The 16,460-nt window shown below is 37.0% G+C and overlaps 1 protein-coding gene and 1 long non-coding RNA gene across 9 annotated transcripts in view; one reads left to right on the forward strand and one right to left on the reverse strand.

Annotated features, from left to right (window-relative positions):
• Positions 1-16,460, reverse strand: part of KATNAL1 (katanin catalytic subunit A1 like 1) — a 104,922-nt gene that overhangs the window by 26,664 nt on the left and 61,798 nt on the right. For all 8 annotated transcript variants that reach the window (NM_032116.5, NM_001014380.3, XM_024449424.2 and 5 more), the window contains 4 exons: positions 11,666-11,793; positions 11,167-11,272; positions 2,021-2,179; positions 1,175-1,301 (listed from right to left, as the gene is read on the reverse strand). In NM_032116.5, coding sequence (NP_115492.1) covers positions 1,175-1,301; positions 2,021-2,179; positions 11,167-11,272; positions 11,666-11,793 — 520 coding nt within the window. The remainder of the gene's footprint in view (positions 1-1,174; positions 1,302-2,020; positions 2,180-11,166; positions 11,273-11,665; positions 11,794-16,460) is intronic.
• On the forward strand, positions 5,611-12,624 carry LOC102723381 (uncharacterized). The gene is made up of 4 exons (XR_007063741.1): positions 5,611-5,813; positions 6,332-6,407; positions 11,961-12,029; positions 12,315-12,624. It is a non-coding gene; the product is annotated as an uncharacterized LOC102723381 (long non-coding RNA).

Here is a 16,460-nt window from a genome sequence, read left to right on the forward strand (position 1 = left end):
TCCACTGCACCCAGACTTTACTTCTACGCCAGAATGTACCATAATGTATTATACTCATCTGATCAGTTGCCTGCTTCCCATCCAGATCAGTGGTTCTCAAACTTTTTGATCTCAGGACCCTTTTATACTCTTAAAAATTACTGAGGCTGGGTGCAGTGGCTCATGTCTATAATCCTAGCACTTTGAGAGGCTGAGTCCAGAGGATCATCTCAGCTCAAGAGTTCAACTACAGCCTGGGAAACATGGAGAGACCCTGTCTTTACAAAAAATAAAACTTAGCCAGATGTGGTGGCATGTGCCTGTGGTCCCAGCTACTTAGGAGGCTGAGGCAGGAGGATTGCTTGAGCCCAGGAGGTCAAGGCTGCAGTGAGCTGTGTTCACACCACTGTACTCCAGCCTGGACAACACAGCAAGACTCTGAACCTTAAACAAAAAAAATTATTGAGAACCCCAAAGAGCTTTTTTGTGTGTGGAGTGTATCTATCAATATCTTTAAAACTTAAAATAGATGGTGCATGGGTAAATTGTATGGAAAAAACCTAAAATTGAAATTTAAAAATATTAATTCACTTAAAAATAATGATAAATTCATTACTTATTTACATATGTTTATGAAAAGTATGTTTTCCAAAATATTAAAAAAAAGAAGAGGGGCTTTTTTTTTTTTTTTTTTAACATTTTTGCAAATCTCTTTAATGTCTATCTAGAGAAAAGCTGGATTCTCATATCTGCTTCTGCTTTCTTTTTATGATACCCTACGTCTTACAGCCTCTCGAAAACTCTACTGTACACTTGTGAGAGAATGAGAGTGAAAAAGAAAAGGCAAACAATGACTTGATATTCCTATGAAAATAGTTTTGACCTTGCAGATTCTTTAAAGGGTCTCAAAGATCCCTAGGACTCTAGATCATGCCTCCAGAAACTTTGCTCCAAACAGTAAGCTCCTTGAAGGCCATAGTAGCCTTTTTCTTTGTAACCTCAGAATCTGAAATGGTGCATGATCTCTAACAAGTATGCAAGAAATGCTTTCTGAGTGCATGAACAAATGAACAAATAAATGGGTGAATGAACAAATAATTAAACTCAGGCTGCCTTCTAATCCATCCATTGATTATGAGTTTACACAAAATATTTAAAAATGAGAGTTTTGAAACAATAATTAAATATCAATTACCATCCATCTGAATGAGCAGTTCAGACTTGACCCTGCGACTTGCCTCATGTTCATCAGAGGTTCCTCTTCGACTGCAGATAGAATCTATCTCATCAATGAAGATCGTGGTAGGGGCATAAAATCTAGCCTTTATGAAAATATTTTAAAGAAATCATTCAATAATCTCATAAAACAATTGGAGTATTTAAAAAAATCTTTTAAAACAATGGCAAAAGAGAGCAGAAACTTCTCACTGTTTTAATGCCATCATCTGGTTATGGCAAAGGCTAAATCAATCATTCCCATGAGAAAAAAGAAATTTCTAAAAATAAAGGTTATATGGCTGGTGAAGCTGGGTGATAGATACATAGGGGTTCATTGTACTATGCTTTCTACTTTCATATCTGGAAATTTCCATAATGGAAAAATTTTTCAAAAATAAATCAACCTCAATCCTCAAATATACATTCTTAAGTTACTGCAAATCCCATATGAAAAAGGAATAAACTTTAATGACGGGTCAGACTCTGATTTTTAAAATACATATGAAAATATTCTTCTGTTCCATCAGCTCCCTAGAGATCCAGAAATACCAGTCAACCCACATATACGACCAAAGTCTCTTCTTCCACCCTGAGTGGACAGGATGCCAAAAGGCCTTGCTTTACCTTAAAGAAAAAGATACACTGAAGATACACCAACTACCCCACAAAACCCATCACCCCAATTCTCATCAGTGTGTCAAGAACTATTAAAATAGAACTACACTGCCCTTTTCAAAAAAGATTCCAGGTGGACAGAACTGATTTATGGGGGCATCATAGGCCTACACACACTACTTTGAAATCTGAATATATCGTCACTCACCATCTCAAACAACAGACGAACTAACTTCTCAGATTCACCTCTGTATTTAGATGTCAGTGTAGAAGACGAAACGTTGAAGAATGTTGTACCACATTCAGTGGCAACAGCTTTAGCTAGCATAGTTTTACCAGTGCCTGGGGGTCCAACCATCAGTACACCCTGAAATTTCAAAAGACAAATTAAATGATTTATCAGATTAAAAAATTTTTTTATAAATTATCATCAGCTATTAATGTACATTGAGATTTTTCCATCAAAAGATAAACTCAAAATTGTCACAGTAAAATCATGATGCATTTAGTAAGAGTATTATTTTATAGCTAGAAAAAATGAAGAAATTTCACAAAATGTCTCAAGCCAGAGGTAGTCAGAGATAACCTAACAAAAAGACTAGACAACAAACAAGTTTCTCATATATTTAGATATAATCTCAGTTTCCTGAACCTAGCATATGACATATACATATAATATTCAGCACTGCTTAAAAGCAACTGTTCTGTTTACACATAATAAAAATAAGACATTTTCTATCACATGTGGCAGAATTACACATTCTTTACCCTCTATAAGGGACAGAACCTATCTTCCACAGTGCATTTATAATACACAGCTTTCAGTAAAAAATAAAGACCCATTTATGAGTTAATAAGGTTAACAGTAAAAAATCCAGTGGTAATTCAAACATAATCAAATTAGCAAGATTTGTATCATTTTAATGCGTTAGCTTATATAAAATAGTAATAGTGATGAAAGAACCAGTACAGAATAAAAACTAAACTTCAGTTACTTCTTAGTTTTGAAAACAAACATAAAAGTATTCTATAAAAAGAAATCAGTGAAGAATAAAAATTATTCAAAGAATCCAACTCTCTAGTCTTAAAAACTAATGGGTTCTTAAATAATTATTTTCTTCCAGAATTTTTAATAGAGTTTAAATACATAGCTCACACTAAATTTTTTGCATAATACCTGGTGATTCCTTAAGAGGAATTCTGATCCAATTGCTACTTTGGTTTGACAAGCTTCTGGGGATTTAGGCTTTGAAAACTATGTGTATGTCAAAGTTTCATAAACTCCAAATTCAGAAACTGTCCAAATGCTTTTCTAGCTATAGAATTTTAACACAGATCAACCAGGAATCACTAAAATTTGAAACACTAGTTTTACAAAAATATTTTTTTGCTTTGTTAGGGAGCCCTCAACTTTGCATGAGGTTGAGATTTTAAAAACCATGAAAACGACCAATTGATGCTATAGGCATAACCAGAGCAAAGTTCTTATTTCTCCGATGCCTTTTTCCATGCTCTCTGAGAGGGCCATCCTGTAATGCCATTAATGTGGCCACCTCCTATAGGAGTTAATTTCTAACATTAGCAGCTGTTTATAGCTACTGTACGATATTTATAAACTTCACCTCCTCATGACATTACTCCTTTAATTAATTTCTCTCTTTCCTGTATCTCTTTGTCTACTGGCTCTTTCCCCTCGGTATACAAATATACTTTAATCTGCCACATTACAAAAATCCCTTAAGGAAAGAACAGTCTCTTCAATAAATGTTGCTGGAAAAACTGGATAGCCATATGCAGAAGAATGAAACTAGATGCTGATCTCTCACCATTTACAAACATCAAAATGGATTAAAGACCATATACAAAAATAAAATCAAAATAGGTTAAAAACCTCAAACTATGAAACTGCTAGAAGAAAACACTGGGGAAATGCTACAGGACATCAGTCCAGGCAGATTTTTTTTGTGTAAGACCTCAAAAGCACAGGCAACCAAAGCAAAAACAGATAAATAGATTATATCAAACTAAAAAGCTTCTGCACAGCAAAGGAAACAACAAAGAGACACCCCCACAATGGGAGAAAATATATGCAAAATATCCATCTGACAAGGGATTAGTAACCAGAACACATAAGCAGCTCAAGCAACTCAATAGCAAAAAGACAAATAATCCAATTTTAAAATGGGCAAAAGGTCAAAATAGACATTTCTCAAAAGAAGACATACAAATGTCCAATAGATACATGAAAAAATGCTCAACATCACTAATCATTAGAGAAATTCAAGTTAAAACCAAAATGAGATCATCTCGCTCCAATTAAAATGGCTTTCATCAAAAAGATAGCTAATAATAGATGATGGTCAGGTATGGAAAAAGGGGAATGCTCCTATACTGTTGGTGGGAGCCACTGTGGAAAACTGTGTGGAGGTTCCTCAAAAAACTAAAAGCAGATCTACCATATGATCCAGCAATTCCACTACCGGGAATATATACAAAAAAAAAAAAAGAAATCGATATGTCGAAGAATTATTTGCACTCCTGTGTTTATCACAGCACTATTCACAACAGCCAAAATACAAAATCAACCTAAGTGCCCAACAATGGATGAATGGAAAAAGAAAATGTGGTATATATACAAAACGGAATACTATTCAGCCATAAAAAGAATAAAATCGTGTCATTTATAGCAACATGGATGGAGGTGGAGGTCGTTATGTCAAATGAAATACACCAAGCACAAAAAGACACATATCACATGTTTTCATTCATTTGTGGGAGCTAAGAAAGGATCTCATGAAGACAGAATAGACTGGTGGTTACCAGAGGCTGGGAAGGGTAGGGGTCAAGGGAGAATTAAGAGAGGCTGATTAATGAGCACAGCTTGATAGATCAGTAGGGTGACCATAGTTTACAATAGTCTCTTGTATATTTCAAAATAACTAGAAGAGAATAATTTGAATGTTCTTAGCATGAAGACAAATGTTAAAGGTGGTGGATATCCCATTTATACTGATTGGATCTTTACAAATTATGTGAATGTATTAAATTATCACGAGCCCCAAAAGTATGTACATCTGTTATGTATCAATTCAAAAACACAAAAAATGTTTAAAAAACAGATAAAATTGAGACAAAAAAATTCCTTCACTTGACTCTACAAATCCTCTAGCTACTATTCACCTCTCCTTCCTCTCACAGCCAACCTTCAATGGTTTATGCTATTTCTTCCTCATAAGCTACCACATGACTTTAGTCTTCACCAATTCACTAAAAATACTTCATTTACTAACCTAATGGTCACTCTTCAGTTGCACCTCCTTCACTTCTCTCTGACCTTTGATGCTGCTGATACATGGTATTCATTCCCCTCTTCTTGAAACCCTGACACTGCTCTTTTCCTGACACTTCTGCTCTCTGGCTATGTTCACTGCCTCAGATCTCCTCTTTCCTCTGCCCTTTATATTCCCAAAGCAATTCTAAACCTTTCCCTTTACAAAACTCCTGAACAAACTCATCCATACCCAGATCATCAACCACCCTTTATATCTCACAATTTTACACTCACACTCTATCTGAAGCTCCAGGCCTCTATTTTGAATTAGCTGCTGAGTATTTACTGAAACACATTTTGTTTCTATTTAAGCCTGCTCCTTTCTCTATTTCCAATATCAGTTCCCTGTACCCTGTATAATAAAGAATTTAGCTGGCCTTTGTCTCCAGTCCCTGGAAAATAGCCTCTAAATCCTTGGAATTACCCTAGCGACAGGATTATTGTTGTTATCACAATAGGCCCTGAAATTTTATGCTAATGAGGTGACTCATGGTGGCCCCCTATATAGTTTATGCCAACAAGACTACTCAGGATGGGGGATGACCATGCCAGGAAAACCAACCATGTGATTAGAGAGCTGGGGCTTTGAGCCATGTGGTATCAACTCAACCTCTGGGAAGAGGAAGAGAACAAGAGATTAAGAACCATGGGCAATCATTCAATTGATCACGTGAGCTTCCTTAACTGGCAATATTCTGTGTATTTCTCTCAGTCCATTTGTGTTGCTACAAAGAAATACCTGAGGCTGGGTAATTTTAAAGAAAAAAAGGTTTATTTGGCTCACAGTTCTGCAGGCTGTACGGGAAGCATGGTGCCTGCACCCATTCAGCTTCTAGTGATGGCCTCATGCTGCTTCCACTTACAGAGTAAGGTGAAAAGGAGCCAGCAGCATGCAGAACTCACATGGCAAGAACAGAAACAAGAGAAAGGGGAAACAGCCAGTTCTCATGAGAATGAACAGAGTAAGAACTTGCTCATTACCATGAGGCTGGCACCATGCCATTCATGAGGGATCTGCCCCCATGGCCCAAACTCCTCCCATCAGGCACCACCTCCCAACACTACCACATCAAGAATCAAATTTCAACATGAGATTTGGTGGGACAAATATCCAAACTATATCCAAACTATAACAGTACTATCACATGTCCATGTGATGCAACAATCTCCATATTGTCACACATCCAGGAGAGCAAAGCATCCTGACTCCAGGAAGAGAGGGCGAAAGAAGCGTCACCTTCAGCATCCTTCTAGATCTCGCCCTGTAAGTTTCTCCTTTTGGCTGATTCTGATTTACATCCTTTGGCTATAATAACACTGTCATCGTAAGTACAGCTGCTCCCTGAATAACTCAGGGGTTGGGGCACCAATCCCCCACACTGTCAAAAATCTGCATATAACGTTTGATTCCCAAAAAAAAAAAATCATTGAATAGCCTATTATTGATTTGAAGACTTGCTGATAACAAAAATTGTAAACACATATTTTGTATATGTATTGTATATGGTATTCTTACAATAAAGCTAGAAAAAAGAAAACATTATTAAGAAAATTATGAGAAAATATATTTATTATTCATTAAATGGAAGTGTATCACCTTAAAGGTCTTCACCTTGGATAGGCTAAGGAGGAGAAGGAAAAGGAGGGGCTGTCTTGTTGTCTCTGGGGCAGCAGAGGCAGAAGAAAAGCCATGTGTAAGGGGACCCACGATGTTCATGCCTATGTCGTCCTGGGCTCGACTGTAAGGCTTCCCTAAGTTCTGTGAGTCATTCTAGAGAATTATCAAACCTAAGAGGGTAGTGGGAACTCCTGAATTTGTAGCCAGCTGGTCATAAGAGTGACCTGGGGACCCCCAAGTTTGTAGCTAGTGTCTGAAGTGAGGGCAGTCTTGTGGAAAACTGTGCTCTCAACCTGTGAAGTTTGGCCCTACTCTGGGTAGGTGATGTCAGAAGTCATTCAATTCAAGCCTGGAATCTGGGAGTCATACAACTTGTCTCTCTCCCGCATCCCTGTAAACAATCAGTCACTGATACCTTCTAAACATCTCTCACAAATCCATTCATTTTTCACTAACCAAAAAGCCCATGACTTTCTGCAGGCATTTGTCCTCATTGTTTGGCTAGATTATTTCAACAACCTCCTGATCAGATTACTTTTTCATATCCATCTATGTCCATCCCCAACCTGTCCTCCATACTGCTACAGAAAAGAGATCTTCCTACACTTGCAAATCACCCTTCTACTAAAAACTCTTCAATGGCTCACTGACATCTTTAGCATGGCATGCAGGGCTCTTTGTGAGAAGTAGGTCACACCAACCATTCCAGCAGTGTCTTTTGTTACTATGTCCCATATAAACACTCTATACTTCCAGCCACACTGAACTACACAAGATTCCTCACATATACTATGTTCTCTTACACTTTTCATGTGTTTGTACCTGATATCCACTCTGCCTTAGAGCCTTTCTTCATCACATCTGCCTGTTTAACTTCTATTCATCTTTCAAGTCTCAGCTCAGGGTCACCTGCTCTGGGAGGCCATCCCTGATATTATTCTCCACAGCAGACTAAGTCCCTCTTCCTCTCTTCTGCCATAGCAGTGTGTTCATTACTCTATCAGACACTAGTCACACTGTCCTCAACAAATACTGCACTTACCACATGGCCTCCATTAAATACATGCTTAATCACCCAAAGACCATGAGCTTCTTGGGGGCTATTATTCACTCATTTTGGTATCCTCTGCACTTAGCCTATCATGTGACACAAGGTAAATACTCAATAAATATGTATTTACCCAGTGTAAATTTATCCAATGCTTACTAAGTACTAGGCCCTGAGGAAAAAAAGTCGAATCTGTCAGGAATCACATATAAATCCTCAAGAGACTTTTAATCTATTAGAAAATATGGATAAATTATGGTGCAGTCTGAGAAGTGCTAAGATAGGCTGGATGATAAATGGATAGATGAACAGAGTCTCAATGTAAGAGTGATTCAAGCATATGTTTATATACTTCAGCACTGAAAATACAGTAGTCTATTTCTTGGGCATCTCCTTATTTTCTAAGTACAATTTTAAATGTTGCCTTTATAAAAATCATATAATCTGATCTTAAAACTTGTAAAGAAGGACCTCAATATTATTCTGTTAGAGAAAAGTTCATCCCAGAGATAACGTATTTTTGAAAAGGCACTTAATATGTTCATCTTTTACCTCTCTCACAAGCTTCAGCCCTGTATTTCTAACTTGGTGCATTTCCACATTAATATTATACCAAAATTTAAAACTCAAAAATAATTCCTTATCTCTTTCCCCAGAAGCACCCCCTGCTCCTACTGAACTTTCAACATCAAGAACAATAAACCAGTGTCTTTCTCCCTTCCTGAGCTCCACATTTATGTTATCATCACTATTTTGCCATAGGCAAAAGCCAATTATCTTTGCCCCTGCCTTCTTGACACATATATTACATCCAAAAGGTTACCAACTTCCTTCATTAAATATCACTAGCATCTGTCCTTCCATTCCTAATTCATAATCACCATCCCAATTCAGGCTCTTTGAATTTTAAGCCTAAACTACTGCCAATCACTTCTGAACGTGCTCTTTGCCTCCCGTCTTTCTGTGCTCATTGCAACCAGGTTGTTTTTCCCAACTCACTAATTTAACTATGCTACCTACCTGCTCAAAGAGGTCTCCCAAACACCTACAGAAAAAGAATCGAACTCCTGGGAAATACAATCTGGCCTCAACCTACCTTCCCATTTGAATCTTCCACTAATTTATATTTTCAACATTTACATAGTTCTAAGGCCTCATTAATTCATTTTAACCTCACTATATCCTATGAGATAACCATTATTATTCCCATTTTATAGATAAGGAAACTGAGTCATGGAGATGTTTCATAACTTGCTCAAGATCACAGAATAAGTGGAAAGGGCTTGAATTCACATGTACCCAGTCTGGATCCAGGATCTGTACCCCTTACCAATATTCTATGCTGCCTTCCTTACAAAACTTCAATGCATCTATTTCCCAAAAACACTTACACTTTCTCACTATATTCCACTGCCCACATCATTCATCCCCCTCTAAGTTCCTACATCTCCAAAATGTCTCCTCCAACATAGCGAAATCCTCACAACCCTACAAATTGTAGCTTGAATCCCACGTCCTCAAGCATAAAGCCTTCTTTAATCATGTCATTTTTGTGCTTTGCTGAGCTTTCCAAGCACATGTGGACTGTACCACCCATTAGGCTCTGCTAGTGCCTAACACTGAAAGCTATATGTAACTGCCCAACTCTCCATTTAGGATGTCTCATAGCTCAGGGACTATGTCTTGAAAAACAAGGAACCCTGTTTATAACAGGGCTAAATAAGTGCTTGACGGATAAAGGAATGGTATCACACAATGCAGGAGAAAGTGTGCCGCAGAAAGGCACATATAAACCTAAGAAGCTGACACACATTGAATTTTAAATTTTCTAAAGGTCTATTATGGTTGTCACAACCTATTTGGACTTCAATTTTCTAGTATGCCAAATAGTGGGGATTTGAGATGATCTCAAAGACTCATTCCAGTTCTGAAATTCTGGAATTTACATTTTGAGACCAATTTTAGAAGCTTGAAAAATTTCTGAGGTCTCCTTATTTTCATGTATTCTTTAAAATACATTTATCAGGCCTGAAACAGTGGTTTATGCTTGTAATCCCAGCACTTCGGGAGACCAAGGTGGGAGGTTCACTTGAGGCCAGGAGTTCAAGACCAACCTGGCCAACATGGCAAAACCCAGCCTCTACCAAAAATACAAAAATTAGCTGGGCATGGTGGCACGCATCTGTAATTGCAGCTACTCAGGAGGCTGAGGCACAAGAATTGCTTGAACCCAGGAGGCAGAGGTTGCAGTGAGCCAAGATCATGCCACTGCACACCAGCCTGGGCAACAGAGTGAGACTCAGTCTCAAAAAATAAATAAAATACATTTATTGTCCCATTTCAGTAAATAATCTATTCTCACAAATCCCTAAAAAATTCAGACATAACCTTTTAAAAAAACGTAATAGTTCTATTCAAGAATTTTATTCTACTGTTGCAGAAAAAAATTATTTGGTCAGGAAAAAGATTCTTTAGAAATATATCTTTATTTTCTTAATCCAGTTTGCCAATAAATACTACAAAAGCACAGCAAGGACAAAATAAATTGATAAAGTCAGATATTTTGTAATGATACAGAAGTGATTTTTTTTTTTTTTTTTTTGAGATGGAGTCTCACTCTGTTGCCAGGCTGGAGTGCAGTTGCGCGATCTTGGCTCATTGCAAACTCCAACTCGCGGGTTCAAGCAATTCTCCTGCCTCAGCCTCCCGAGTAGCTGGGATTACAGGCATGCACCACCACGCCCAGCTAATTTTTGTATTTTTCGTAAAGATGAGGTTTCACCATGTTGGGCAGGATGGTCTCGATCTCCTGGCCTCGTGATCCACCCTCCTCAGCCTCCCAAAGTGCTGGGATTACAGGTGTAAGCCACGGTACCCAGCCAAGAAGTAGTTTTTTAAAACACAGCTAAAGACCTCTTTTTAGAAAAAACATTTGTTTTCAAGTCAGTGACAAGTAAAACAAAATAATTAACCATCAGTGAGAAATATTCCAACTTTTGAAAACTGTTTGATCACACCTTTCTTCTATAAGACCATATATTATTTCTGCTTAATCTGCTTAACTTTTTATTTATAGAACCATACATCCAGAAAATTCTTAAAACTAATCTCTAGCTCAGCATCCCTGAGTGAAGTGACCTAAAGACTATATAGTTTCAACACTCCAAGCCCATCTCTCCTGCTATGCAGATGTAACACATCACAACTACAAATTCAAATCCAGGTGTTTTGGGTGTACATAAACTTCTCCCAACCTTTTCAAAATGGGTTAAATACATCAAAAACTACAGCAATGCTGCCTTTCATTCCAGTGCCAAGTAGCATTCTTATATCAAAACCAATTTAATAAATTCTCACCTTCCATGGCCTTCTAATCCCTTTGAAAAAGTCAGGCATCCACATTGGAAGAACAACAGCTTCCCTTAGCAACTTCTTAGCTTCTTCCAGATCTGCTATGTCATCCCTTTGAAAGAACAGCAAACTTTCATAATGTTTACTCAGGGATCTTTGATTTATGGTCAAAACTAATTCTTTTAATTTTTTTTTACTTATGAAATTATTCTCATAGTAAGAACATTATTCTAATTCTTACTGCATAAAAAGATCAGTGAAAACATTAGTTATTAATGAGGACATGTCATTGAATTAACAACTTGTCAGTTACACATCAACTTCAAATTAACATGTAAAATGTCCTTGGTTACATTCGACAGAACTGTCTCGTCAATTCTATACTTTCATATTATAGATGTGGTCATAATCAGATTAATGAATAACAAGAGAAAACTCACACACCAAGACAACCTATAATTTGTGTTCTCCTCTACTTTAATTCAATAATTTGAAAGACTCTAACCAATGAATGCTAGGATTCCTGGATACAATGTCTCTTTCAAGGGCTTCCACCAGATCCTTATCATAACCAGCACCATCAAATTTTGGCATTTCACCATCACTTGCACCATCTTGCATATTCTTCCTTCCCTGGGGATAGGTATAAAAAAAAAGTACTAGTCAGTAATGGATAATTTAGTTAACATCATTACGCTTTGAAAACATTATAATGCCATCACTTTCTAAATAATTTTTATTATTTTAAGGTAGTATTTTCTGATTACTCAAATGCCATTCTCCTCTATTTAATTCATCAGAAATACATGAACTGGTCAACTTTATTAAAAACTTCAAATCTACATTCTTGCAGGAACAGTTGCATGCAGGTAAGACTAAACTGATCCTTGCTAGATCCCAAAAGACTGGGAAAGCCTACCTTTGAACTGGTAGACGCAGAGGATTTCCACCACTACTAGAAAACATTTTGAATATTAATGTGGAAGGATCTTTTTAAATAGTATTAAGACCATTAAAGCAATATGCTTTACCCCAAATTCTTCATTTAATAATATAGTTGTTTTAAAAGAAATTTTATGCTATGGTTTCTATGGGGTTCTGCCAAGATTCACACAGCTTTGACGAGCTTTAAATGAAATTCACTTATTTGCCAGAGACAGTCCAACTATGGAAATACTTCAGCAAGCACAGCCAAGTGCCTCCCCAGAGCTTTAGCCCCAGTTACTGCCTAGAGTAAAAACAAAACAAGAAAATGGTCAAAATGAGTCAATCTCCTAAACTTCAACCGGAAAAGAGACAAGAGAACAAGACAAACTTCTCCAATCCCACTTCTGAGATAGTCAAAAGGCTCAATCATAAGTGCTGGAGGAAACTAAATGGCTCCCTTGGACAGATGCTCTGGTTCCTTCAAGCCACTAGGTAAGTGACCAAACAGTATTCTGGTACTTCACCCAAAAAAATAAATTATTTCTGGGCAGTATGGCGGTAGCATTAAATTTATTAGTAAATTTTCCCGAAGATTCTTGCATTCCAGATGACAGATATCAATACTGACAATATTAAAAGGAGTAAATTTTTGGCACCTACACAAGAAACATAACATCAACAAACTTAAGCTTAGGCTAGAGTCAAATTTTATAGTACAGATAGGCCAAGGCTACCAAGTCATATTCAAACAAATCACTAGGAACATTCTGTAATCATTTAAAAACTATTCTAGAAACGTATCAACGAAAGAATACAACAGAAACTGACATATCTGGAGCTTGAGCCTTCATATGGCACTGTAATTTACACTTATCAAGTTAAAATTAAAATTTCATTTTAATATGAATGTCCAAGTGGCTGGAAAGAACTTAATAAACACTACCTCAGGAGAAAGAAAAAGCTGCATGCCTATCTGAAAGTAATAGGAGTATCATAGGATTTTAAAAACAGTAAATATTTGGGCATCTTCTACGTGCAATACATGCTATTGTGCATTAGGTTTTAGAGCAGTGAATGAAAATACATTATCTGCCCTCATCAAGCATCTAGTCTAGTGGGGGAAACGAGTAACAAGTAAATAAAGCAAAAACACACATAAACTGTGAAGTGCTGTGAAAAAACCTGAGTAGCCAGTATAATAAAATGTATTGCGCAGAAGAAAGAGGTTGAAGATATGGGCAGAGGTGAGTTTGGATTTCTTCTGGCTCCTATAGAGGACGGGGTAGAGGAGGAGAATCAAAGAACTAAAAGCCTCTCACTACACTGAAGAAGAAGTGTGTGTATAGGCCAGTTAAATGACCTGCCCGAGAACCCAAAGTTTCTCAGTGGTACACATGAGACTTGAATACCGATCGAGGACTACAAAAAAGATTCTGGAAACGTTTTCAAATCAAAATGGTGAGGTTATAAAAAACAGACATAGGAAAACTAAAATTAATTTGGTTATGCCAGGAAATCAGTAAAATGGGTGACAGTTATTCTTCATAAAAAATACTTAAATTAGAATACAGACATCAAATATAAACAGCTAGATTAAATGCAATACCTAAAGGAAACTATTAGTTAAAGGAAATAAAGCTAACCTCTCCAAGATATTACTAAGTGTACATAAATACTACTAACTGCAATGTCACTGAAATGATCTTAGAATTCTTTCCTTAGATTTTCATATGAGTTGACTAAGGTCAACATTAGCAAGAATTTGATTTTTAGCATGAAGGTTGATATACTTTTTTTCTCATGAAAGCAAAATATTTTAGCTTCTTTTTACTAACATCAAAATTTCCCATATCAAGAAAGCTTTGTTACTCATCTTTCATTAGTGTTGGATAATCTTCTATTTGAGGAAAATTAGGCTCAAAGTGACTAACCAAATATTACAGAGCCAATTAATGATATAGTTTGCCCTAAAATGCAAATGTTTCTTACATTTTACTATGCAACCTCTCACACTGGCAGATTAAGTAAAACATGATCAGTTACTAGCTCTGGGTCTTGCATTTTAAGAGAAATACTGATAAATTACACCCAGGGAAGAATAATCAAGATGATAAAGGGTTCAAAACCCATGTCATATGGAGGAAGACCAAGGAAACTAGAGACATTTAAGCTGAAGAAGTAAATTCTAATGGGGCAATACAACCAACAGGCCTACTAGGTATTAAGCCAAAAAAAAAAAAAAAAAAAAAAAAAGCAAGGGCCAGTAACAAAAGAGATAGATTTCAGATCAGCAAAAGAAAGAATTTTCTAACAATAGATTCTGTCCAACAGACGAATCAACTCATTAGGTAGTAAGCTACCACGCATCGGAAATTACTGGCCAATTAGTAATAAAAATCACTGGGTCATAGTCACACGGATGTCTAAGCTTAATTATAGCTGATCTTTTTCCTGTAAAGCCACTGCCTCTCACTTGCCTAATTTATTCATCTGTTGCCTGATTTCAATGGCCCAAGGAAAGTGCAAAATTTCTTGGAAATCTCATTATTTTTCTTTTTTTTAAATTATACTTTAAGTTCTAGGATACATGTGCAGAACGTGCAGGTTTGTTCCATAGGTATACACGTGCCATGGTCATTTGCTGCACCCATCAACCCATCATCTACATTAGGTATTTCTCCTCATGTTATCCTTCCCCTAGTCCCCCACCCCCCAACAGGCCCCAGTGTGTGATGTTCCCCTCCCTGTATCCATGTCTTCTCATTGTTCAACTCCCACTTATGAGTGAGAATATGTAGTGTTTGGTTTTCTGTTCCTGTGTTAGTTTGCTGAGAATGATGGTTTCCAGCTTCATCCATGTCCCTGCAAAGGACATGAACTCATCCTTTTTTATGGCTGCATAGTATTCCATGGTATATGTGCCACATTTTCTTCATCCAGTCTACCACTGATGGGCATTTGGGTTGGTTCCAAGTCTTTGCTATTGTGAATAGTGCTGCAATAAACATACGTGTACATGTGTCTTTATAGAATGATTTATAATCCTTTGGGTATATACCCTGTAATGGGATTGCTGGATCAAAGGGTATTTCTGGTTCTAGATCCTTGAGGAATCGCCACACTGTCTTCCACAATGGTTGAACTAGTTTACAGTCCCACCAACAGTGTAAAAGCGTTCCTATTTCTCCATATCCTTTCCAGCAAACCCTTCAAAAAATCAATGAATCAAGGAGCTGGTTTTTTGAAAAGATTAGCAAAACAGATAGACTGCTAGCCAGACTAATAAAGAAAAGACAGAAGAATCAAATAGACATAATAAAAAATGATAAAACGGATATCACCACTGATTCCACAGAAATACAAACTACCATCAGAGAATACTATAAACACCTCTACGCAAATAAACCAGAAAATCTAGAAGAAATGGATAAATTCCTGGACACATACACCCTCCCAAGACTAAACCAGGAAGAAGTCAAATCCCTGACTAGACCAATAACAAGTTCTGAAATTGAGACAGTAATTAATAGCCTACCAACCAAAAAAAAGCCCAGGACCAGACGGATTCACAGCCAAATTCTACCAGAGGTAAAAAGAGGAGCTGGTATAATTCCTTCTGAAACTATTCCAAACAATTAAAAAAAAAAAAGGGACTCTTCCCTAGCTCATTTTATGAGGCCAGCCTCTTCCTGATACCAAAACCTGGCAGAGTCACAACAAAAAAAGATAATTGCAGGCCAATATTCCCGATGAACATCAAAGCAAAAATTCTCAATAAAATACTGGCAAACCGAATCCAGCAGCACATCAAAAAGCTTATCCACCACGATCAAGTTGGCTTCACCCCTGGGATGCAGGGCTAGTTCAACATACGCAAATCAAAAATGTAATCCATCACATAAACAGAATCAATGACAAAAACCACGTGATAATCTCAATACATGCAGAAAAGGCCTTCGATAAAATTCAACACCCCTTCATGCTAAAAACTCCCAATATACTAGGTATCGATGGAACATATCTCAAAATAATAAGAGCTATTCATGACAAACCCACAGCCAATATCACACTGAATGGGCAAAAGCTGGAAGCATTCCCTTTGAATACTGGCACAAGACAAGGATGCCCTCTCTCACCACTCCTATTCAACACAGTATTGGAAGTTCTGGCCAGGGCAATCAGGAAAGAGAAAGAAATAAAGGGGATTCAAATAGGAAGAGAGAAAGTCAAATTGTCTCTGTTTGCAGATGACATGACTATATATTTAGAAAACCCTATCGTCTCAGCCCAAAATCTCCTTAAGCTGATAAGCAACTTCAGCAAAGTCTCAGGATACAAAAATCAACGTGCAAAAATCACAAGCATTCCTATAC

Source organism: Homo sapiens, chromosome 13 (genome assembly GCF_000001405.40).
Source record: "Homo sapiens chromosome 13, GRCh38.p14 Primary Assembly".
Classification (NCBI taxonomy): domain Eukaryota; kingdom Metazoa; phylum Chordata; class Mammalia; order Primates; family Hominidae; genus Homo; species Homo sapiens.